This window comes from Homo sapiens, chromosome 2 (genome assembly GCF_000001405.40).
Source record: "Homo sapiens chromosome 2, GRCh38.p14 Primary Assembly".
In the NCBI taxonomy this organism is placed as follows: Eukaryota; Metazoa; Chordata; class Mammalia; order Primates; family Hominidae; genus Homo; species Homo sapiens.
This window is the reverse complement of record NC_000002.12, coordinates 242,006,765-242,028,248: the sequence shown is the minus strand read 5'-3', so window position 1 is coordinate 242,028,248 and position 21,484 is coordinate 242,006,765. Positions and strand designations below refer to the sequence as shown.

The following is a 21,484-nucleotide window of genomic DNA, read 5'->3' as shown; positions in this document are numbered from 1 at the left end:
GGAAGGTCGGGACTGTGATGTTGACGGGATGCCTTGTGAGTTGGGGGAGGTGCTGATGGGGGTTTCCATGTGGGAGAGAGAGGTGTTTGGTTTTCCAGAGGGAGCAGACTTGAGAGGGGACAAACTTGAGAAATGCCACCAATGAAAGGCCCAGGCAGAGCAGGTCTTGGGGCCGCCCAGCCCTGTGGGAGCCAAACGTGGATGTGTCAGTGGCCATGTCAGGAGGTAAACCCTCAACCAAGGGCCTCTGGGTGTCCAAGGCCAAGTCTTGTTCAAGAGGTGCGTTCAGCTGAGCCAACCATGGCAGAAATGCATAAGGGAGATCCCACAGTTCCTCCGTTTAAATCCCCTGCTAATCCCACCCGCCTCAGAGAAGGAGCCAAGTCCTCACAGCAGCCTGCAACCCCCGCCTGACTCGGCCTCCTCTCGGGTCTGATTCTCTGTACCCGTCTACACCTCTCTGTCTCTTCTCCCACCAGAGAGGATATCCTGCACGTTCATCCTGGTGGATTCAAACCCATCTTTGCCACACACATAGTCACCAGAATGAGCACGCATAATCTATAAAGAGTCCTCTTGAAAAAGAAAAATGCAGGCCGGGCATGGTGGCTCATGCCTGTAATCCCAGCACTTTGGGAGGCTGAGATGGGAGGATCACCTGAGGTCAGGAGTTTGAGACCAGCCTGGACAACATGGTGAAACCCCATCTCTAGTAAAAATATAAAAATTAGCTAGGCGTGGTGGTGGGCGCCTGTAATCCCAGCTACTCAGGAGGCTAAGGCAGGAAAATCACTTGAACCCAGAAGGTGGAGGCTGCAGTGAGCTGAGATTGTGCCACTGTACTCCAGCCTGGGCAACAGAGTGAGACTGTGTCTCAAACACATAACAATAGGAATAATAAAAGAAAAGTGCAAAAATTCAAACAACTTAACAGAAACTGGGCAAAAGAGCTGAACCGGCCCTCCACAAAAGAGGAAATGTGGAGGAATGACTAATGAAAACATGAAGAGGGGCTCAGCCTAACGGGGAGATATCACGTGACACCCACCAGATGGGCAAAAATCCCACCACCCAATCCATGCAGCTGTTGGGGAGAATGGAGAGAAGCAGGAACACCAGGCACTGCTAAGAATGGTTGTGAAGTATATTTTTGTTATGCTTGTATATGAAAGGATGTGTGTTGTGGGTTATGAGGAAAATTACATTTTTTACCTGGGATGAAATTTTAAAACTTGAAAGCTACTGACCAGAAGCAACCTGCACTTGTGGACAAAAGAAATGCCCAAGAATGTTCCCAGCAAAACGCAGTCCTCAGGGCCCCAACCTGGCCAAACACTCATCCACGGGAAGATGAAGACATTTCCCATGCTCCCCTCAGACAACGAGAGACCATGCAGCAATGAAAATGGACCATGTCAGTGTGGGTGGGTCTCAGGGAGAGAATGGAGACAGGAGATCACGCAGCAATGAAAATGAACCATGTCAGTGTGGGTGGGTCTCAAGGAGAGAATGGAGGACAGAAATAGACATAGAGCAGATGCTCAGAGCCATGCAGTGCAGGAGCAGCCACGCAGGAGAATTTCCTCACATCAAAGTTCAAAACTACAGCCAAGGCAACAGAGCAAGACCCTGCCTCAAAAAGAAAACAAAGTTCAAAAACTAAATGGCTTATTGTTTAGGGATGTACACATACGCGGTGAAAGAAACGTACTATGAAGAAAAGTGTGGGAATAATAAAGACTAAAGCAGGAAGTGGTTCCCTCTGTAGGAGAAGAGAAGGGACTGGGACTCAGGCAGGGCCTCCAGGGAGCATCCAAAGTTATGTCTCTTCAGATTCTATTCCCTAAACCTGGTGGAGGTCCTCTGTGTCCAATGTGTCAATATTCTTTATACCTTACCCATATTGTACAAATACTTTATTTCTATTCAATGTTTAGAAGACAGTTATTAACAAGATGCATTAAATAGCAAGATGGCCAATGAACATCAGGAAGGGAACATCCATGAGGTTCCATCCACGGAACCTCACCATGGATACGCTTGTGATCAAGGGCCTGGTCTCCCCTCAAGACACAGTCAGAGATCAGAGGCCACACCATCCTAGCAGTGGAGCAGGACCAGCTGGGACAGGGTCCTTCTGTGACACCTGCTGCATCACCAGCCTATGTGAATGGATTCAGCTGCCAGAACTCACAGAGTATCAGTATTAGCACCGAAACCTCACAGGAAAAATGGTAAGTTCTAAGTTTCTCCATTAACAGTAACTCTCAGATTAATCTCTGTCATCCATCACTTCTCCATGAAATAACTTTTTACAGCTCTTCATGGGTCTATGTTTCAATTTATATATTATTTTACTAACTGATTGAAAATATATATTGTGTGTGGTGTGTGATTCTGTCAGTCAGGATAATCATAGTTTAATTTCTATTATTATTATTCCAATATCATTTAGTTTTTTTAAGCTTTTCAATTCCTGAGGGTATTAATCAGGGTCTTTCTGTCTCATGAGACAGAAAACAAATCCAAACTGTGTAAGAGAAAAAGGAATGCATTAATCCCGAGGACTGAGAAGCTCCCAGGCTTAACTTGCTTGGGATTCAGCTACATGTACAGTTTCCACGGCGTCCTGAAACTCTCTCTCTCTACTTCCCCAACATCAGCTCCACGTTTAGCTCCATGAACTTCAGACTTAAACAGCATCACTGGCTCCTGACCAGGATTCCAGCTCCACAAACCTCAAACTAGAACACCAGCCTGGCTTCTCCACAGGTCTCCAGCTCCAAAACCTAAGACATCAGTGGCAGTACCTACTCCTCCCAGGGGGCTCCAGCTCTGAGACCCTCAGACTTGAACCGCAGCACCAGCTGTTCCCCAGATCTCCAGCTCCATGACCCTCAGACTTAAACAACAGCAGCACCAGCTCATCCGTGGGTCTATATCTCCACGACCCTCAAGCTAGGAAAACATCAGCTCCTCCCCGGGTCTCCAACCGCACGACCCTCCAACTAGAAACACACCAGCTCCTCCCTCAGTCTCCAGCTCCACAAGCCTCCCACTAGAACAGCAACACCAGCTCCTCCGCGGGTCTCCAGCTTTACAACCTAAGACATTAGTGGCAGCACCGGCTCCTCCTGGGGGCTCAAGCTCCAAGACCCTCAGACTTGAACCGCAGCACTGGCTCTTCCCTGGATCTCCAACTCGACGATCTTCAGACTTAAACAACAGAAGAACCAGCTCCTCCCTGGGTTTCCAGCTCCACGACCCTCAACTGGAACATCAGCTCCTTCCTGGGTCTCCACCACAACAACCCTCAACTAGAAACACAGCAGCTCCTCCCCGGGTCTCCAGCACCACGACCCTCAACTAGAAACACACCAGCTCCTCCCCAGGTCTCCAGCTCCACGACCCTCAACTAGAAACACGCCAGCTCCTCCCTGGGTCTCCAGCTCCACGACCCTCAACTAGAACAACACCGCTCCATGCTGTATCTCCAGATCCACGACCCTCAACTAGAAAGACACCAGTTCCTCCCCTGGTCTCCAGCTCCATGACCCTCAACTAGAAACACAGCAGCTCCTCTCCGGGTCTCTAGCTCCATGACCCTCAACTAGAACAACACCACTCCATGCTGTATCTCCAGATCCACGACCCTCAACTAGAAACACCAACACCGGCTCCTCTGCAGGTCTCTAACTTCTCCCATAGATTCCAGCTCCAGGACCCTCAGATTTGAACCACAGGACAACCTCCTCCCTGGATCTCCAGCTGCACGACTGTCAAACTAGAACATCAGCTCCTCCCAGGGTCTCCAGCCGCACGACTCTCAGACTAGAACATCAGCTCCTCCCAGGGTCTCCAGCCGCACGACTCTCAGACTAGAACATCAGCTCCTCCCAGGGTCTCCAGCTGCACGACTCTCAGACTAGAACATCAGCTCCTCCCAGGGTCTCCAGCTGCACGACTCTCAGACTAGAACATCAGCTCCTCCCAGGGTCTCCAGCTGCATGACACTCAAACTATAAAGACAACAGCTCCTCCCTGGGTCTCCAGCTCTACAACTGTCAAACTAGAACACCATCAGCTCCTCTCCGGGTCTCCAGCTCCACGGCTCTCAAATTGAAACAACATCAGCTTCTCCCTGGGTCTCCAGCTGCACAATCCTCCAACTAGAAAAAACACCAGCTCCTCCCCTGGTCTCCAGCTCCACGACCCTCAATCTGGAACATCAGCTCCTCCTCAGGTCTCCAACTACATGACCCTCAAACTAGAAAAACAGCAGCAAACTAAAAAAAAACTCCCCAGGTTTTTCTAGTTTGATGGTCGTGCAGCTGGACACCCGGGAAGGAGCTGATTTTAATCTAGTTTGAGCATCGTGGAGCTGGACACCCAGGGAGGAGCTGGTGTTTTTCTAGTTTGAGCGTCATGGAGCTGGACACCCAGGGAGGAGCTGGTGTTTTTCTAGTTTGAGCGTCGTGGAGCTGGACACCCAGGGAGGAGCTGGTGTTTTTCTAGTTTGAGGGTCGTGGAGCTGGACACCCTTGGGGGTCAGTGTTTTTCTAGTTTGAGGTCATTTGAGGGTCAGCTGCACGACCCTCAAACTAGAAAAACACTAGCTCCTCCCCTGGGTATCCAGCTCCACAAACCTCACATGAGAAAAACACCAGCTCCTCCCCGGATCTCCGGCTCCACAACCCACAAACTAGAACACCAGCAGCTCCTCCCCGGGTTTCCAGCGACACGACCCTCAAACTAGGAAAACATCAGCTCCTCCCCATGTCTCCAGCTCCATGACCCTCTGATCAGAAAAACATGAACTCCTACCTGGGTCTCCAGCTTCAGGAGCCTCAAACTAGAACATCAGCTTATCCCCGGGTCTCCAGCTCCACGACCCTCAGACTTAAACAAGAGCAGCACCAGCTCCTCCCTGTGTCTCCAGCTCCAGGACCTTTTGATCAGAAAACATGAGCTGCTACCTGAGTCTCCAGATGCAGGAGCCTCAAACTAGAACAACATCAGCTCCTCTCCAGGTCTCCAGTTGCAAAACCCTCAAACTACAACATCAGCTCCTCCCCGGGTCTCCAGCTGCATGACCCTCAAACAGGAACATCAGCTCCTCCCCGGGTCTCCAGCTGCACAACTCGCAAACTAGAACATCAGCCCCACTCCGGGTCTCCAGCTGTATGACACTCATACAAGAAAGAGGCAAGCTCCTCCCAGGTTCTACAGCATGACCCTCCAATTAAAAAACACCTGCTCCCCCTGGGATATCCAGCTGCATGACCCGGAAACTGTCACATCAGCTCCCCCCCCAGGTCTCCAGCTGCACCACCCTCTAACTGCAATATCAGCTCCCCCCCAGGTCTCCAGCTGCACGGCCCTCAAACTGGAACATCAGATTCCTGGCCCTCTAACTGGAACATCAGCTCCCCCGAGGTCTCCAGCTGCATGACCCTCAAACTAGAACATCAGCTCCCCCCAGAGTCTCCAGCTGCAAGGCCCTCAAACTGGAACATCAGCTCCCTGCTGGGTCTCCAGCTGGAAGGCCCTCAAACTGGATCATCAGCTCCCCCCAGGGTCTCCAGCTTCACAGCCCTAAAACCGAAACATCAGCTCCCCCCGGGTCTCCAGCTTCACAGCCCTAAAACCGAAACATCAGCTCCCCCCGGGTCTCCAGCTGCACGGCCCTCAAACTGGAACATCAGCTCCCCAGCCCTCAAACTGGAACATCAGCTCCCCCCAGGGTCTCCAGCTGCATGACCCCCAAACTAGAACATCAGCTCCCTCCAGGTCTCCAGCTGCAAGGCCCTCAAACGGCAACATCAGCTCCCACCCCGGGTCTCCAGCTGCACGACCCTCAAACCGGAACATCAACTCCCCCCAGGGTCTCCAGCTGCATGGCCCTCAAGCTGCAACATCAGCTCCCCGCCGGTCTCCAGCTGCACTGCCCTCATACTGGATCATCAGCTTCCTGGCCCTCAAACTGGAACATCAGCTCCCCAACCCTCAAACTGGAATATCAGCTCCCCCCAGGGTCTCCAGCTGCATGACCCTCAAACTGGAACATCAGCTCCCCCCGGGTCTCCAGCTGCACGGCCCTCAAACTGGATCATCAGCCTCCCAGCCCTCAAACTGGAACATCAGCTCCCCAGCCCTCAAACTGGAACATCAGCTCCCCCGAGGGTCTCCAGCTGCATGACCCTCAAACTAGAACATCAGCTCCTCCCCAGGGTATCCAGCTGCATGACCCTCAAACTGGATCATCAGCTCCCCAGCCCTCAAACGGGAACATCAGCTCTCCCTAGGGTCTCCAGCTGCATGACCCTCAAACTAGAACATCAGCTCCTCCCCAGGGTCTCCAGCTGCATGACCCTCAAACTGGATCATCAGCTCCCCAGCCCTCAAACTGGAACATCAGATCCCCAATCCTCAAACGGGAACATCAGCTCTCCCTAGGGTCTCCAGCTGCATGACCCTCAAACTAGAACATCAGCTCCTCCCAGGGTCTCCAGCTGCACGGCCCTCAAACTGGAATATCGGCTCCTCCCAGGGTCTCCAGCTGCATGACCCTCAAACTAGAACATCAGCTCCTCCCCAGGGTCTCCAGCTGCATGACCCTCAAACTGGATCATCAGCTCCCCAGCCCTCAAACTGGAACATCAGATCCCCAATCCTCAAACGGGAACATCAGCTCTCCCTAGGGTCTCCAGCTGCATGACCCTCAAACTAGAACATCAGCTCCTCCCAGGGTCTCCAGCTGCACGGCCCTCAAACTGGAATATCGGCTCCTCCCAGGGTCTCCAGCTGCATGACCCTCAAACTGGAACATCAGCTCCCCTGAGGGTCTCCAGCTGCACGGCCCTCAAACCAGATCATCAGCTTCCCAGCCCTCAAACAGGAACATCAGCTCCCCCGAGGGTCTCCAGCTGCACGGCCCTCAAACTGGAACATCAGCTCCCCCTCAGGGTCTCCAGCTGCATGACCCTCAAACTAGAACATCAGCTCCTCCCCAGGGTCTCCAGCTGCATGACCCTCAAACTGGATCATCAGCTCCCCAGCCCTCAAACTGGAACATCAGATCCCCAATCCTCAAACGGGAACATCAGCTCTCCCTAGGGTCTCCAGCTGCATGACCCTCAAACTAGAACATCAGCTCCTCCCAGGGTCTCCAGCTTCACGGCCCTCAAACTGGATCATCAGCTTCCCGGCTCTCAAACTGGAACATCAGCTCCCCAGCCCTCAAACTGGAACATCAGCTCTCCCCCGGGTCTCCAGCTGCAGGACCCTCAAACTAGAACATCAGCTCTCCCCAGGGTCTCCAGCTGCACGGCCCTCAAATTGGAACATCAGCTCCCCCCGCGGGTCTCCAGCTGCACGGCCCTCAAACTGGAACATCAGCTCCCCCCTGCGTCTTCAGCTGCACGGCCCTCTAACTGGAACATCAGCTCCCCACCGCGCCTCCAGCTACACGGCCCTCAAACTGGAACATCAGCTTCCTGGAACATCAGCTCCCCCGCCGGGTCTCCAGCTGCACGGCCCTCTAACTGGAACATCAGCTTCCTGGAACATCAGCTCCTCTCCAGTGGCAGGACACTAATACTAGAAAAACGCCAGCTCCTCCCGGGTTCTACAGCTGTGCGACCCTCAAACAAAAGAAACACCAGCTCCTCTCTGGGTCTGCAGCTGCAGGAACCTCAAACTAGGACACCTCTCCCCCTGGATCTCCAGCTCCACGACCCTCACAGAGGAACAGCCACATCAGCTCCTTCATTGCCTTCAGCTCCACAATCTAAGACATCAGTGGCAGCACCAGCTCCTCCGTGGACGTCCAGCTCAACGACTCTCAGACTTAAAAGGCAGCATCGGCCCCTCCCCAAGGCTCCAGCTCCACCACCCTCAGGTTTGAACAGCGGAATCACTAGCTGCCGTCCAAGTCTTCCGCCCCACAACCCTCCCTGAACAATCCCTTCTCATGAAATTCAGCAGTCAAGAAAACTGCAGCAGAAGTAAATGAATAAATGTTTTGTTTTCAAATCGATGTCTCTTACGTTCATGAGTTAACTTTTCTACTTTCCATTAACCTTGCAATCTACTTTTGTCCAATGTGAGATAGAAACACACCATTTGAAATGACGTTTAAAAACTTAGTAATATTTTTAATATAATCATCACACAGCTGTAGACACGATCTTATTTCTCTCTGCCTGTGCAGAAGGCTTATGAAAATTCAAACTATGAATTTACTTTGTTGAGATTCCCAGAATACACATTAATCCCAACTGTTACTCCCCTCCTTAAAATCTTTTAACACATTCCCATCACCCGAGCATAAATGGCAGCTCCCATCCACAGCCCACAGTGCCCAGCACGGCCCTGCCCTCTGCCCTGGTCTATGGTCTCCCCTCTTAAATGCCAGCTCCATCCACAGCCCACAGTGCCCTCATGGCCCTGCCCTCTGCCCTGGTCTATGGTCTCCACTCTGGTGCCCAGCCCGGCCCTCCCCTCCCCTCTGCCCTGGTCTATGGTCTCCACTCTGGTGCCCAGCCAGGTCCTCCTCTCCCCTCTGCCCTGGTCTATGGTCCCCCCTCTTAAATGCCAGCACCATCCAAAGCCCACAGTGCCCAACACGGCCCTGCCCTCTACTCTGGCCTAAGGTCTCTCCCCTCTGCCGGACAGGCCTCTGTCAGTTCTTCAAACCACACAGGCTCAGGCCTGACTCCAGCCTTTCCCCTGCTGTGCCGTCTGCCTGGGGTGCCTTTCCCGGGCTCCGCATCCTCAGCTCGCTCAGCTCCAGCCTGCTGGTCGCCCCTCAGGTGGAAGAGCACCCGGTGTCCTCTCGCCCCGCCGGCCTTTGCACAGGCTCTTCTCTGTGCCAGCCACACACCCCCTCTCACCACTGGGGTTTACTCTCTAAATACCATTCATCCTTGGAGTCTCCACTGACATATCGCTCCCCGCCCACCCCCCTCCCTTGGACTTAGCCTTGGTCAGGTTGCCAACCCCCGTCTCCTGACTCCGGGAAGCTAGATGCTCTCCTACCACTCGGAACTTCCCAGGAAGCTAGATGCTCTCCTACCACTCGGAACTTCCCAGGAAGCTAGATGCTCTCCTAGCTCTCGGAACTTGCCCATCGCCACATTCACACACCCGTGGTTACCGGGTTAGGTTGGTGCAGAAGTCATCGCGGTTTTTGCCGTTACTATTAATGAACCGCAGCAGCGGCTCCTCCCCGTTTCTTTTTTTGCCATTACTTTTCATGACTGCTGCACCAACCTATTAGAATCATTTATATTTATCCATCCAACATCTGCCTTTCCCTCTAGAAAGGAAGCTCCATGAGAGTAGAGGCCAGATCTACTCAAATCACTCCACCTTCCCACACATTGTCAATAATCATTTACCAACTGACTGATAGAGAAATGCCTTCCCTGTTGCTGGGATGAGGCACACGACATGCCCCTTTGAAAGTCACTGTCATGGACCGTTGGCATTTGCTCTTCACTCCTGCACCCGTGGCGTGGCTGGGCTCAGGCTGATCTAGTCTGGCCTTGACTCCAGGCTGAGGATGGGAACCATGCCTGCTCCACACGCCTCTCATCCCACAGCCAGAGCCACCCTCCCCTGGGGCTCGCACATCTCGTGGGGAAAATCAAGAGCCTTAGAGGGCAGGCCTGGCAGTGCCCACACATTCCAGGCTTCTGCTTGTGCCATGTCTGTGAAAATCTCATTGGCAGAAGCAAGTCACCCAGTCTCGAGCAGCACCTATGGGATGGATAAGTCCATCCACCCTCCCTCGGGCCCTAGGAAGGCTGGGGCTGTGTCATACTCTTGCGGGGGAAGTGAAAAATTGAGGCCCAACATTAAATCACCCACGGCAAGAAATGTCAACCTCTGTGTCTCCACGCTGGAATCCTTTGCCAGTGGGTTCACCTGAGCTGACTTTGCAATGGTGTCTGCAGGTTTAGGCCAATGCTGGTCCCCGTGGAGGACAGAGAAGCCTCAATCGGCCTCCGTCTGTTGGGAAGAACAAGATATTAGCTTGGCGCAAAACAACCGCAAGCCCCAGGTGTCCCACGCCCCATGAGACAGGAGAGGAGCAGAGAACTGTGGAAGCTCAGGGAAGCTTGCATCCCCAGCCCCTCCCCTGCGTCCCCAGCCCCTCCCCTGCGTCCCCAGCCCCTCCCCTGCGTCCCCAGCACCTCCCCTGCATGCCCCCATCTCTGCTTGCTTGCTTTCTCTTTCTTTCTTTCTTTCTTTCTTTTTTCTTTCTTTCTTCTTTTTTTTCTTCTCTTTCTTTTTTTTCTGAGACAGGGTCTGGCTCTGTCACCCAGGCTGGAGTGCAATGGTGTAATCTTGGCTCACTTCAACCTTCACCTTCTGGGATCCAGCAATCCTTCCTCCTCAGCCTCCCCAGTGGCTGGGACTACAGGCACATGCCACCACACCCAGCTAAACTTTTTTTTTTTTTTTTGGAGACAGGATTTTGCCACGTTGCCCTGGCTGGTCTCAAGCAATCCTCCCACCTCAGCCTCCCAAAGTGTTGGGATGACAGGCATAAGCCACCAAGTCCAGTCTGCTTTATTTTTCTTCATAGTACTTGGAACCTCCTTTTTTTTTTTTTTTTTTTTTTTTTTTGTGGACGGATTCTCACTCTGTTGCCCAGGCTGGAGTGCAGTGGTGTGATCTCGGCTCACTGCAACCTCCACCACCTCCCAGGTTCAAGCGATTCTCCTGCCTCAGCCTCCTGAGTACCTGGAACTACAGGCACCTGCCACCACCTCCGGCTAACCTTGATCTCAGAGACTTCTGGCCTCCAGAACTGTGAGACAATAGGTTTCTGTTGTTGAAGCCCCAGTCTCTGGAGCACTGTTAAGTAGCCCCGGGAAGCTGGCACAGAACCCGGCCACCCCTCCTGGGCGAGCTGCTTTCTACCAGGCTCTGGGGGTGGCGGGTGGCCTTTCACTGGTCTCCTCCAGCGCTTGCCCCTGTTCTGACTTGTATTTTGGGAGTGTCTTTCTTCTTCCTAGTGTTGACAGCCTCACACACGTGGCGTTGTACTGGCACCCGAGAACCAGCACTCACGTATGCAGCACTTTCAGAAATTAGTTATATTTATGCATGGTCATGGTCATACTCATACATCTAATTGGACTTCTTTTTTAAGAAAGTGAAACAAAGCCTGAATTCTCCATTGTTGTGTAGGCCTCAGTTCCCGGAGCTGTCCTGTAAGTTCCTTGAAAAAAGGTGCTTTCAACCTGTATGTGGTACCTCTTGGCAGCTGCCTCATTGGCTGGACCCTGGACAGCTCTGAAGTCAGAGGAGTGGGGCTTCAGTACGTTGCACTGGGGTGAAATCCTGGCCATCATCCACGAGGAAAGACCAATGCAGCAGAACCATCCCTGAAGCAGTGAAACGCGGTCAGGAACCGTCAGTCAGTGAGCCATCCCTTTGGAAGTTCTTCACGGGACCATACATCTTAGAATTCTTAACACATAGTGACATGCCACGAGGTGGCATTCCCGTCCTGTTCCTACCAATGTACATTCATATTCAAAGTAGAAACAGAAACCATCTTCCACATAACAAAGTCCTGAAGATCGTCACAACTCTTAAGCCATGTGGTTCCTCAGCACCGCATGAGCTGACCCATCCCAGCTCGTGATCACGCGGACGGGCTAAGACATAACTGAAGAAGCGTCGGTATTTTATATGTATCTAATTTCATTTTTTAAAGACATTTTTAGGGGATAGAAACATTACAGAACAAATTTTAATGTACCATGAAAGTATAAATATTAGAAAAGGAAACTAATGCATGTGAACAAGGACTCCATGAAAAGTACGCAGTGGTTGAAGCTGCACGACTCTAGGGACAAAAGTTTGCATAAATATCCAAGCGAGTTTCGTTCCTGAGCATTAGGACCGAACATACAAGCAAGCTGAGGCAGGTCTGCGGCCAGAGCCCTATGGAGTCCTCACTGCGAAGGCCCTGCTCAGGGAGCTTCTATTCCTGGTTGAGGAGGGGAGACATGCCACCTGCTTCTCCCAGGTAGTCCCTGACCACAGACTCCGGAAAGAACAATGGTGCAGAACACAAGAAGCAGTGACCAGGCAGAGGGTGCACCTGCGTCCCCTCCTGCCTCCCTCCTGCATCCCCTGCCCGCATTGAGGCAGCAGGGTCCAAAAGCGCTCAGGGGCCACGTGCAGGACACTCCAGGAAGGACCACACAGTCTGAGCTTGGGGCCACAGAGAGAGGACTTAAGGGGAAGGGCAGACACCCCACCCTCCCCACACCCTTCCCTCTGCCCCCTGCCCTCGGCAATCACCTGGGTCTGTGGCAGCAACTGTGCCAACAATGGCAGAGGGCAGGACCCAGCCCCACAGGGGAACCTCCTCTCCATGTGGGGCTCCAGCAAGATGGGGCCAGACCCACTGCTTCTTTCTCCCTCCGTCTGCCCAGCACTTGGCCCAGGCCTGGCTCAGCTGTGGGAGTGCACAGCTCAGGAGGTAACTAAATCCCCGGCTTTCTAGCTCAAGAACAAAAATGAGGGGTCCCAGGGAGAGAGGACATTTGAGGGAGATTCGAGAGAGGGAGAGTCTTGGTAAGTGGCGTGTGGCCTCCTGGGCTGCCCTGAGTTGCTCACATGTATTTGAGCTCATGAACAGACCTCAGCCTAGACCCTGGCGGTGCACACTCAGGGCAGTTGCAAACAGTACTGAAGGCTTTCAGAAAGGAACTGGCTGTGGAAGCCTAGACCACAAAATGTTATTGAAACTTGCAGCCTGAATTTAATCAGGTTAATGCTCACTAAAACAAACACTAAATCAACATTCTTCACTGGAATGAAATAAGATGCAGAGTCTCCTAACATAATATTCATGGTGTCCAGAATGCAATTCAACCTTACTAGGATATGAAGAACCAGGAAAATAACTCACACAGGAGCCAGCCAGCCCATGCCCATGCTAAGATGACTGAGCTGTGTGATCTGCTGACAGAAACATGAAAATCACTCCGCCCATAGTCACAAACACTCTTGAATCCAATGGGAACAGAGAAAATCTCACGAAGGAACTAGAAGATGTAAATACAAAACAAATGGACATCTTAGAATGGAGGGGCAATATTAAAAGAAAGATCCTCACTGGATGGGACTTACAGCAGAAGGTAAAGAAATATCAGAATGGAACAAAGAGTCTGTGGATTTGAATATAGCTAAATGGAAATTATCCAATCTTAACAACAGAGAAAAACATGAGAAAGGAATGTTTTAAATGAGAATATTTTCTCGTGGAGACTCAGTGAGCAGACCTAGCTCATAACTCTCCTGTCACCGGAGGGGCAGGTGAAGGAGACCTACATGAAGATGGATTCACAAATTCCAACTAGCAAATATGGGTTCCAGGCAAAGTGTGAAAAGTTAACGATGTACATTTTATTTCCTGGACAGCGATGCACTGTGTAAAATTAAATCACCCCAAATAGAATGATAGAGATAGAATGAAAATCAAAAGATGAAAAGTGAAGCAAACACCATGCAAACCCTCATCGAAGACAGCAGGATAAGCCACGTTAGTATCAGGCAAAGTAGGCTTTGCAGCAAACAAAATCACCAGGGATAAAGAGAAGAAATAAATAATGACAAAAGGGTCAAGAAAACAACAGTCCTACACGTGAATTCACCAAGTGCCAGAACTCTAAAACACTTGAAACAAAAATTTTAAAAACCCAAAATAGAAATGGACAAAAGTCCACAGTCAGGAATGGTAACACTGTTCTATTAATAGAGATTATACTAAAAAGATAGAAAGTTCTCAATAATGTAGGTTTCCACTTTTTAAAAGGTAGAAAAAGGAAACCAAAAAGAATCAAAACCAAGCAGGAGTAGGGAAATAATAAAGGTAAGATCAAAAACAACAAAATTATTTTAAAATACAATAGAGAAATGAATGACACCAAACCCAATTCTTTGAATAAATTTGAATAAAATTGATGAACTTCTAACACTACCATTGAATAAAAAAAGGAGGGGAGGGAGACACAGTTTACCAACATTGGAAAAGAAAGATGGGTCATTGCTGCAGACACTGCAGGCACTAAAGGATAAACAGGGAATAACATGACAACTCCACACACATGAACTCAACACTCAGATAAAGTGGATGGATTCTTCAGAAAACAAACTCACCGCATGTGAGAGCAATGTCCTCAGTACTGAGAGGCAAATTTCCATTGCGGATTTTCTGGGGCAGCTGCAGGGCAGCCAGGCCCTGACCTGCCTCTCTCTGGAACGCGGGGCCTGGCAGCCTCGCCAAGCTCAGCTGCGCACAAACTTTCCTGTCGGCAGGAGGTTCAGCTTGACTTTCTGAGAATCAGGGAATCGGGAGTTCCTAAAACAATTTCCCACCCGTAACCCTGCAATAGGATCTAATATTCTCAGGATCCCTTTTCAAGGTGGCTGAAAAGTCTTGTGAAAGTGCAGACATCCTGCCCACCAGGCCGGAGCGGTCTTTTCAGCTGTGATTCGCATCCGGCCCCTTGTCTCAGCTCATCCGCTCCATGCGGGCTGGAAGGCAGGACGCAGCACTGCTGGGTTCGAGAGGAGCAAGACACTAGCCGTCTCTGGGGATGCGAAAGGCGGAGCTCTGGGTGGGACCCATGGGTGTCCCCTGACGGGGCATGAAGCCCAGGGCATGGAAGGAGGGGAGCCCCGCAGAAGGATGGAGGGGTGCAGGGCACCCCACGCCCCCCAGAGAGGCCTGCAGCTGCCTGTAACGACACGCAGTGTGTCCTGCAGATGTGCGGAGTCTGCCCGGGCTGGCAGGGGCTAGGCACGTCCCACGCGCACCCCCAGATGCTCTCCTGTCGGTTGCTGGTCCAGGATTTGATCAAAACAAACAGAAAACTGCACTGCAACAGGGACGATGGCTGCATCCCTGGAGAGCCTCCCCGGCCACCTCGGGCTGGGCCACGAAGACCCCCCAGGCCTGCCCGACCCCACCGCAGGCTCCAGGCGGGATCCCTGAGACTCCACTCGCTGCACAGGCCGCGGCTCCCCCTTCTCTGTGGAGCCTCTGAGATCTACTCACCTAGCAGTGTAGAGTCCTCTCTCCATCCATCGCCCCGGGGACCAGGTCGGGCAGTCCTGGCCGGGGTCTGCGTGGCCCAGCCCGAGGCGGTGAGGGAGGCTCCCCCGACATGCAGCCGTCATCCCTGTTTCAAAACGGTGTTCTGTTTGTTTTGCTTTAATCAATCTTAGTCCAACTACTGACGGGAATGTTGTAGACGTGTTAGAAGCAGAGCCTGACTGAGGCTAAGACGGCTTTTCACTCCCCCCAAAACTCCCCCCAACACTGCGATTCTGAGGTTAAAATTAGGTAGAAAAGGTTCTACTGCTCCATGACGATCTCAGAAGAGGAAGGTCACGCTAATGCAATGTTGGCAGGAGAGTTGGAATGATTTAGATGAGAAAGCTACGTAAATGAAAAATATTTCACCAAGGGCTCAGTGTAAGAAACATGGAAATGGAAGGGCCGGGCGCAGTGGCTCATGCCTATTAATCTCAGCACTTTGGGAGGCTGAGGCGGGCGGATCACGAGGTCAGGGATCAAGTCCATCCCGGCTAACACGGTGAAACCCCGTTTCTACTAAAAATACAAAAACTTAGCCGGGCGTGGTGGCGGGCACCTGTAACCCTGGCTACTGGGGAGGCTGAGGCGGGAGAATGGCTTGAACCCGGGAGGCCGAGCTTGCAGTGAGCTGAGATCGCGCCCCTGCCCTCCAGCCTGGGCGACAGTGCGAGACTCCGTCTCAAAAAAATAAATAAACAAATAAAAAAGAAAGATGGAAATGGGCCGTAACCAGCAGTGTGGGAGCCATGAAGAGCAGAACTGAAAACCACCCACTTCTTATGCATTCCTCACTTTCAGCAGAAGTTTTTGAAATCATCGTTTCTCAACACCCCGGCGGCTCTTCCTCTCCACCGCATCTCCCCGCACAGCCCTTCGCAGAGGCCGAGTTCTCTTCGGTGACACCATCCCAAACCTGGAGCTCGGAGCAGGGCGGTGGCGGCTGTGACCTCTGAAAACACAGCACCCGCCCCGACTCTCCACGGAATGACCCCTGTCCCACCATTGCCATCGCTGGGAAGCTGTTGGTCAGCAGCATGAAGACGTCAGTCTAGCATTCCATTGCCTCGTTCACACCCAAAGTCACCTCGATGTGGGGCACGGGCGTGGAGCTGGGATTATCCACTCCAGCACGACCTCTGCATGGCATCCAAGGACAAAATCCCAAAAGTAGAAAACACCAGATATTAAGCACAAAAGTCAACCATATGCAAGAAGCTGCTAGTAATTTCCACCCACTAGAGCACCAGCGACACGGAAGGCTGCTTTCATTTGCTTTGGTTCTGGCTGGGTTTTGTTCGCTAGGTGGTTGTCCTTATTCATTGACTTCCTCAGCCTCGTGGGCCTCCTGCCCAGGGAAGGGGCCCCAGTGAATTAAGCATCTGTTCACCCCGTACCAACCTTGCATCCACAGTACATTCTCAGCGAGAAACGAACCCAGACTGGAAGCCGCCCTCTCTCTGAGCCGGTCAGGACCTGAAACCCAGCCTCCTGCCTCAGTTTGCTGGGCTGGACGGAGCTCCTGGCATTGTCAGCTTCTGAGGCGACCCCAGCACCTCGGTGTGGACTTTCTGCCTAGTGGCTTGTGTTTTAAAGAGTTTCATTATTATCCACTGGAAGGTTTAAATAGATAACTGTAACTTTTCTTTTACAAATGTAAACATGGGTTTTGAGTATGAAAGAGACTCCATGGAAATGTTGGTTATAGAACTTAAAACACAGGGCCCACGATGATGAAGAAAACACACCCCATGTAGGAACCCGTGGTCAGAGCATCAGAGAACGCGCTGCACCCCCAGGAAACCGTGGTCATAACATGAGGAAACCCACAGCCCCCCACGCCCTTTCTTTCCATTGGCATCAGCACTGGTGTCCAGCGTCTCCGACGAGTCTCACCACACCACAGCCCCACGTCCTTTGGGGACGTCATTTTGTCCCATAATTGTCTACCTGGTTGATATTTTCAAAAGTAGACAATCTTGATTGTGGTCCTATTAACTTGCTACCTGAGTAGGTAACTAGTAAAAACTTATAGTAACTTAAAAACCTGTGTGCATCTTTAGAGTGAAGACATCTTCTATTTATGACGTGTTTGTCATGCGTCTATTTTCATACAGGTATACATACCTTAAAATGTTCTAATTCAAAGAAAAAAACCTACAAACATAGAAGGCATTTAAGATAAACCGAATTCCAAAACGCCTGATGAATACACTGATAGTAATTGAAGGTGAAATTTTCTGCATTAGTGATCATTTATGAAAGATATGAAACTCCCTTCAATACACACACTCCATTTTCAGGTTTTGAAAACTTCAACTTTGTGTTGTATAACTTTGACTTTTGCTTTTCCTTTTTTTGTGATTTCTGCTTTTTTTGTTTAATAAAAAGGTTTAAAATGGTTTTAAATGACCATTCATGGTTCCTCCCCTCGACCAGTCGGTCCTTCCCAAAGCGCAGTTGTGTGTTCCCCCCGTGTGCACTGGCAATCACGCGGTCACACTGTGTGTTCCCCCTGTACGCACTGGCAATCACGCGGTCACACTCTGTGTTCCCCCCGTATGCACTGGCAATCACGCAGCCACACTGTGTGTTCCCCCTGTACGCACTGGCAATCACGCGGTCACACTGTGTGTTCCCCCTGTACACACTGGCAATCACGCAGCCACACTGTGTGTTCCCCCTGTACGCACTGGCAATCACGCAGCCACACTGTGTGTTCCCCCTGTACGCACTGGCAATCACGCGGTCACACTCTGTGTTCCCCCCGTATGCACTGGCAATCACGCAGCCACACTGTGTGTTCCCCCTGTACGCACTGGCAATCACGCGGTCACACTGTGTGTTCCCCCTGTATGCACTGGCAATCACGCGGTCACACTGTGTGTTCCCCCTGTACGCACTGGCAATCACGCGGTCACACTCTGTGTTCCCCCCGTATGCACTGGCAATCACGCAGCCACACTGTGTGTTCCCCCTGTACGCACTGGCAATCACGCGGTCACACTGTGTGTTCCCCCTGTACGCACTGGCAATCACGCAGCCACACTGTGTGTTCCCCCCGTGTGCATTGGCAATCACGCAGCCACACTGTGTGTTCCCCCCGTGTGCACTGGCAATCACGCGGCCACACTGTGTGTTCCCCCCGTGTGCACTGGCAATCACGCGGCCACACTGTGTGTTCCCCCTGTACGCACTGGCAATCACGCGGTCACACTGTGTGTTCCCCCCGTGTGCACTGGCAATCACGCGGCCACACTGTGTGTTCCCCCTGTACGCACTGGCAATCACGCGGCCACACTGTGTGTTCCCCCTGTACGCACTGGCAATCACGCGGCCACACTGTGTGTTCCCCCTGTACGCACTGGCAATCACGCGGCCACACTGTGTGTTCCCCCTGTACGCACTGGCAATCACGCGGTCACACTGTGTGTTCCCCCTGTACGCACTGGCAATCACGCGGTCACACTGTGTGTTCCCCCTGTACGCACTGGCAATCACGCAGCCACACTGTGTGTTCCCCCCGTGTGCACTGGCAATCACGCGGTCACACTGTGTGTTCCCCCTGTACGCACTGGCAATCACGCAGCCACACTGTGTGTTCCCCCTGTACGCACTGGCAATCACGCAGCCACACTGTGTGTTCCCCCCGTGTGCACTGGCAATCACGCGGCCACACTGTGTGTTCCCCCCGTGTGCACTGGCAATCACGCAACCACACTGTGTGTTCCCCCCGTGTGGCACTGGCAATCACGCAGCCACACTGTGTGTTCCCCCCGTGTGCACTGGCAATCACGCAGCCACACTGTGTGTTCCCCCTGTACGCACTGGCAATCACGCGGTCACACTGTGTGTTCCCCCCGTGTGCATTGGCAATCACGCGGCCACACTGTGTGTTCCCCCCGTGTGCACTGGCAATCACGCGGCCACACTGTGTGTTCCCCCTGTACGCACTGGCAATCACGCGGTCACACTGTGTGTTCCCCCTGTACACACTGGCAATCACGCGGCCACACTGTGTGTTCCCCCCGTGTGCATTGGCAATCACGCGGCCACACTGTGTGTTCCCCCTGTATGCACTGGCAATCACGCGGTCACACTGTGTGTTCCCCCTGTACGCACTGGCAATCACGCAGCCACACTGTGTGTTCCCCCTGTACGCACTGGCAATCACGCAGCCACACTGTGTGTTCCCCCCGTGTGCACTGGCAATCACGCGGTCACACTGTGTGTTCCCCCTGTACACACTGGCAATCACGCGGTCACACTGTGTGTTCCCCCTGTACGCACTGGCAATCACGCGGCCACACTGTGTGTTCCCCCTGTACGCACTGGCAATCACGCGGCCACACTGTGTGTTCCCCCTGTACGCACTGGCAATCACGCGGCCACACTGTGTGTTCCCCCTGTACGCACTGGCAATCACGCGGTCACACTGTGTGTTCCCCCTGTACGCACTGGCAATCACGCGGTCACACTGTGTGTTCCCCCTGTACGCACTGGCAATCACGCAGCCACACTGTGTGTTCCCCCCGTGTGCACTGGCAATCACGCGGTCACACTGTGTGTTCCCCCTGTACGCACTGGCAATCACGCAGCCACACTGTGTGTTCCCCCTGTACGCACTGGCAATCACGCAGCCACACTGTGTGTTCCCCCCGTGTGCACTGGCAATCACGCGGCCACACTGTGTGTTCCCCCCGTGTGCACTGGCAATCACGCAGCCACACTGTGTGTTCCCCCTGTACGCACTGGCAATCACGCGGTCACACTGTGTGTTCCCCCTGTACGCACTGGCAATCACGCGGTCACACTGTGTGTTCCCCCTGTACGCACTGGCAATCACGCGGTCACACTGTGTGTTCCCCCTGTACGCACTGGCAATCACGCAGCCACACTGTGTGTTCCCCCTGTACGCACTGGCAATCACGCGGTCACACTGTGTGTTCCCCCTGTACGCACTGGCAATCACGCGGTCACACTGTGTGTTCCCCCCGTACGAGCTGGCAATCACGCGGTCACACTGTGTGTTCCCCCTGTATGCACTGGCAATCACGCGGCCACACTGTGTGTTCCCCCTGTACGCACTGGCAATCACGCGGTCACACTGTGTGTTCCCCCCGTACGCACTGGCAATCACGCGGTCACACTGTGTGTTCCCCCTGTACGCACTGGCAATCACGCGGCCACACTGTGTGTTCCCCCTGTACGCACTGGCAATCACGCGGTCACACTGTGTGTTCCCCCCGTACGCACTGGCAATCACGCGGTCACACTGTGTGTTCCCCCTGTACGCACTGGCAATCACGCGGTCACACTGTGTGTTCCCCCTGTACGCACTGGCAATCACGCAGCCACACTGTGTGTTCCCCCCGTGTGCACTGGCAATCACGCGGTCACACTGTGTGTTCCCCCTGTACGCACTGGCAATCACGCAGCCACACTGTGTGTTCCCCCTGTACGCACTGGCAATCACGCAGCCACACTGTGTGTTCCCCCCGTGTGCACTGGCAATCACGCGGTCACACTGTGTGTTCCCCCTGTACACACTGGCAATCACGCGGTCACACTGTGTGTTCCCCCTGTACGCACTGGCAATCACGCGGCCACACTGTGTGTTCCCCCTGTACGCACTGGCAATCACGCGGCCACACTGTGTGTTCCCCCTGTACGCACTGGCAATCACGCGGCCACACTGTGTGTTCCCCCTGTACGCACTGGCAATCACGCGGACACACTGTGTGTTCCCCCTGTACGCACTGGCAATCACGCGGTCACACTGTGTGTTCCCCCTGTACGCACTGGCAATCACGCAGCCACACTGTGTGTTCCCCCCGTGTGCACTGGCAATCACGCGGTCACACTGTGTGTTCCCCCTGTACGCACTGGCAATCACGCAGCCACACTGTGTGTTCCCCCTGTACGCACTGGCAATCACGCAGCCACACTGTGTGTTCCCCCCGTGTGCACTGGCAATCACGCGGCCACACTGTGTGTTCCCCCCGTGTGCACTGGCAATCACGCAGCCACACTGTGTGTTCCCCCCGTGTGCACTGGCAATCACGCGGCCACACTGTGTGTTCCCCCCGTGTGCACTGGCAATCACGCAGCCACACTGTGTGTTCCCCCCGTGTGCACTGGCAATCACGCGGTCACACTGTGTGTTCCCCCTGTACGCACTGGCAATCACGCGGTCACACTGTGTGTTCCCCCTGTACGCACTGGCAATCACGCGGTCACACTGTGTGTTCCCCCCGTGTGCACTGGCAATCACGCGGCCACACTGTGTGTTCCCCCTGTACGCACTGGCAATCACGCGGTCACACTGTGTGTTCCCCCTGTACGCACTGGCAA

The 21,484-nt window shown here is 53.0% G+C and overlaps 1 long non-coding RNA gene across 1 annotated transcript in view; it reads right to left on the bottom strand.

Annotated features, from left to right (window-relative positions):
* LINC01237 (long intergenic non-protein coding RNA 1237) overlaps window positions 1–21,484 on the bottom strand; it is a 197,360-nt gene that overhangs the window by 50,474 nt on the left and 125,402 nt on the right. The gene's annotated exons all lie outside the window — the stretch shown is intronic.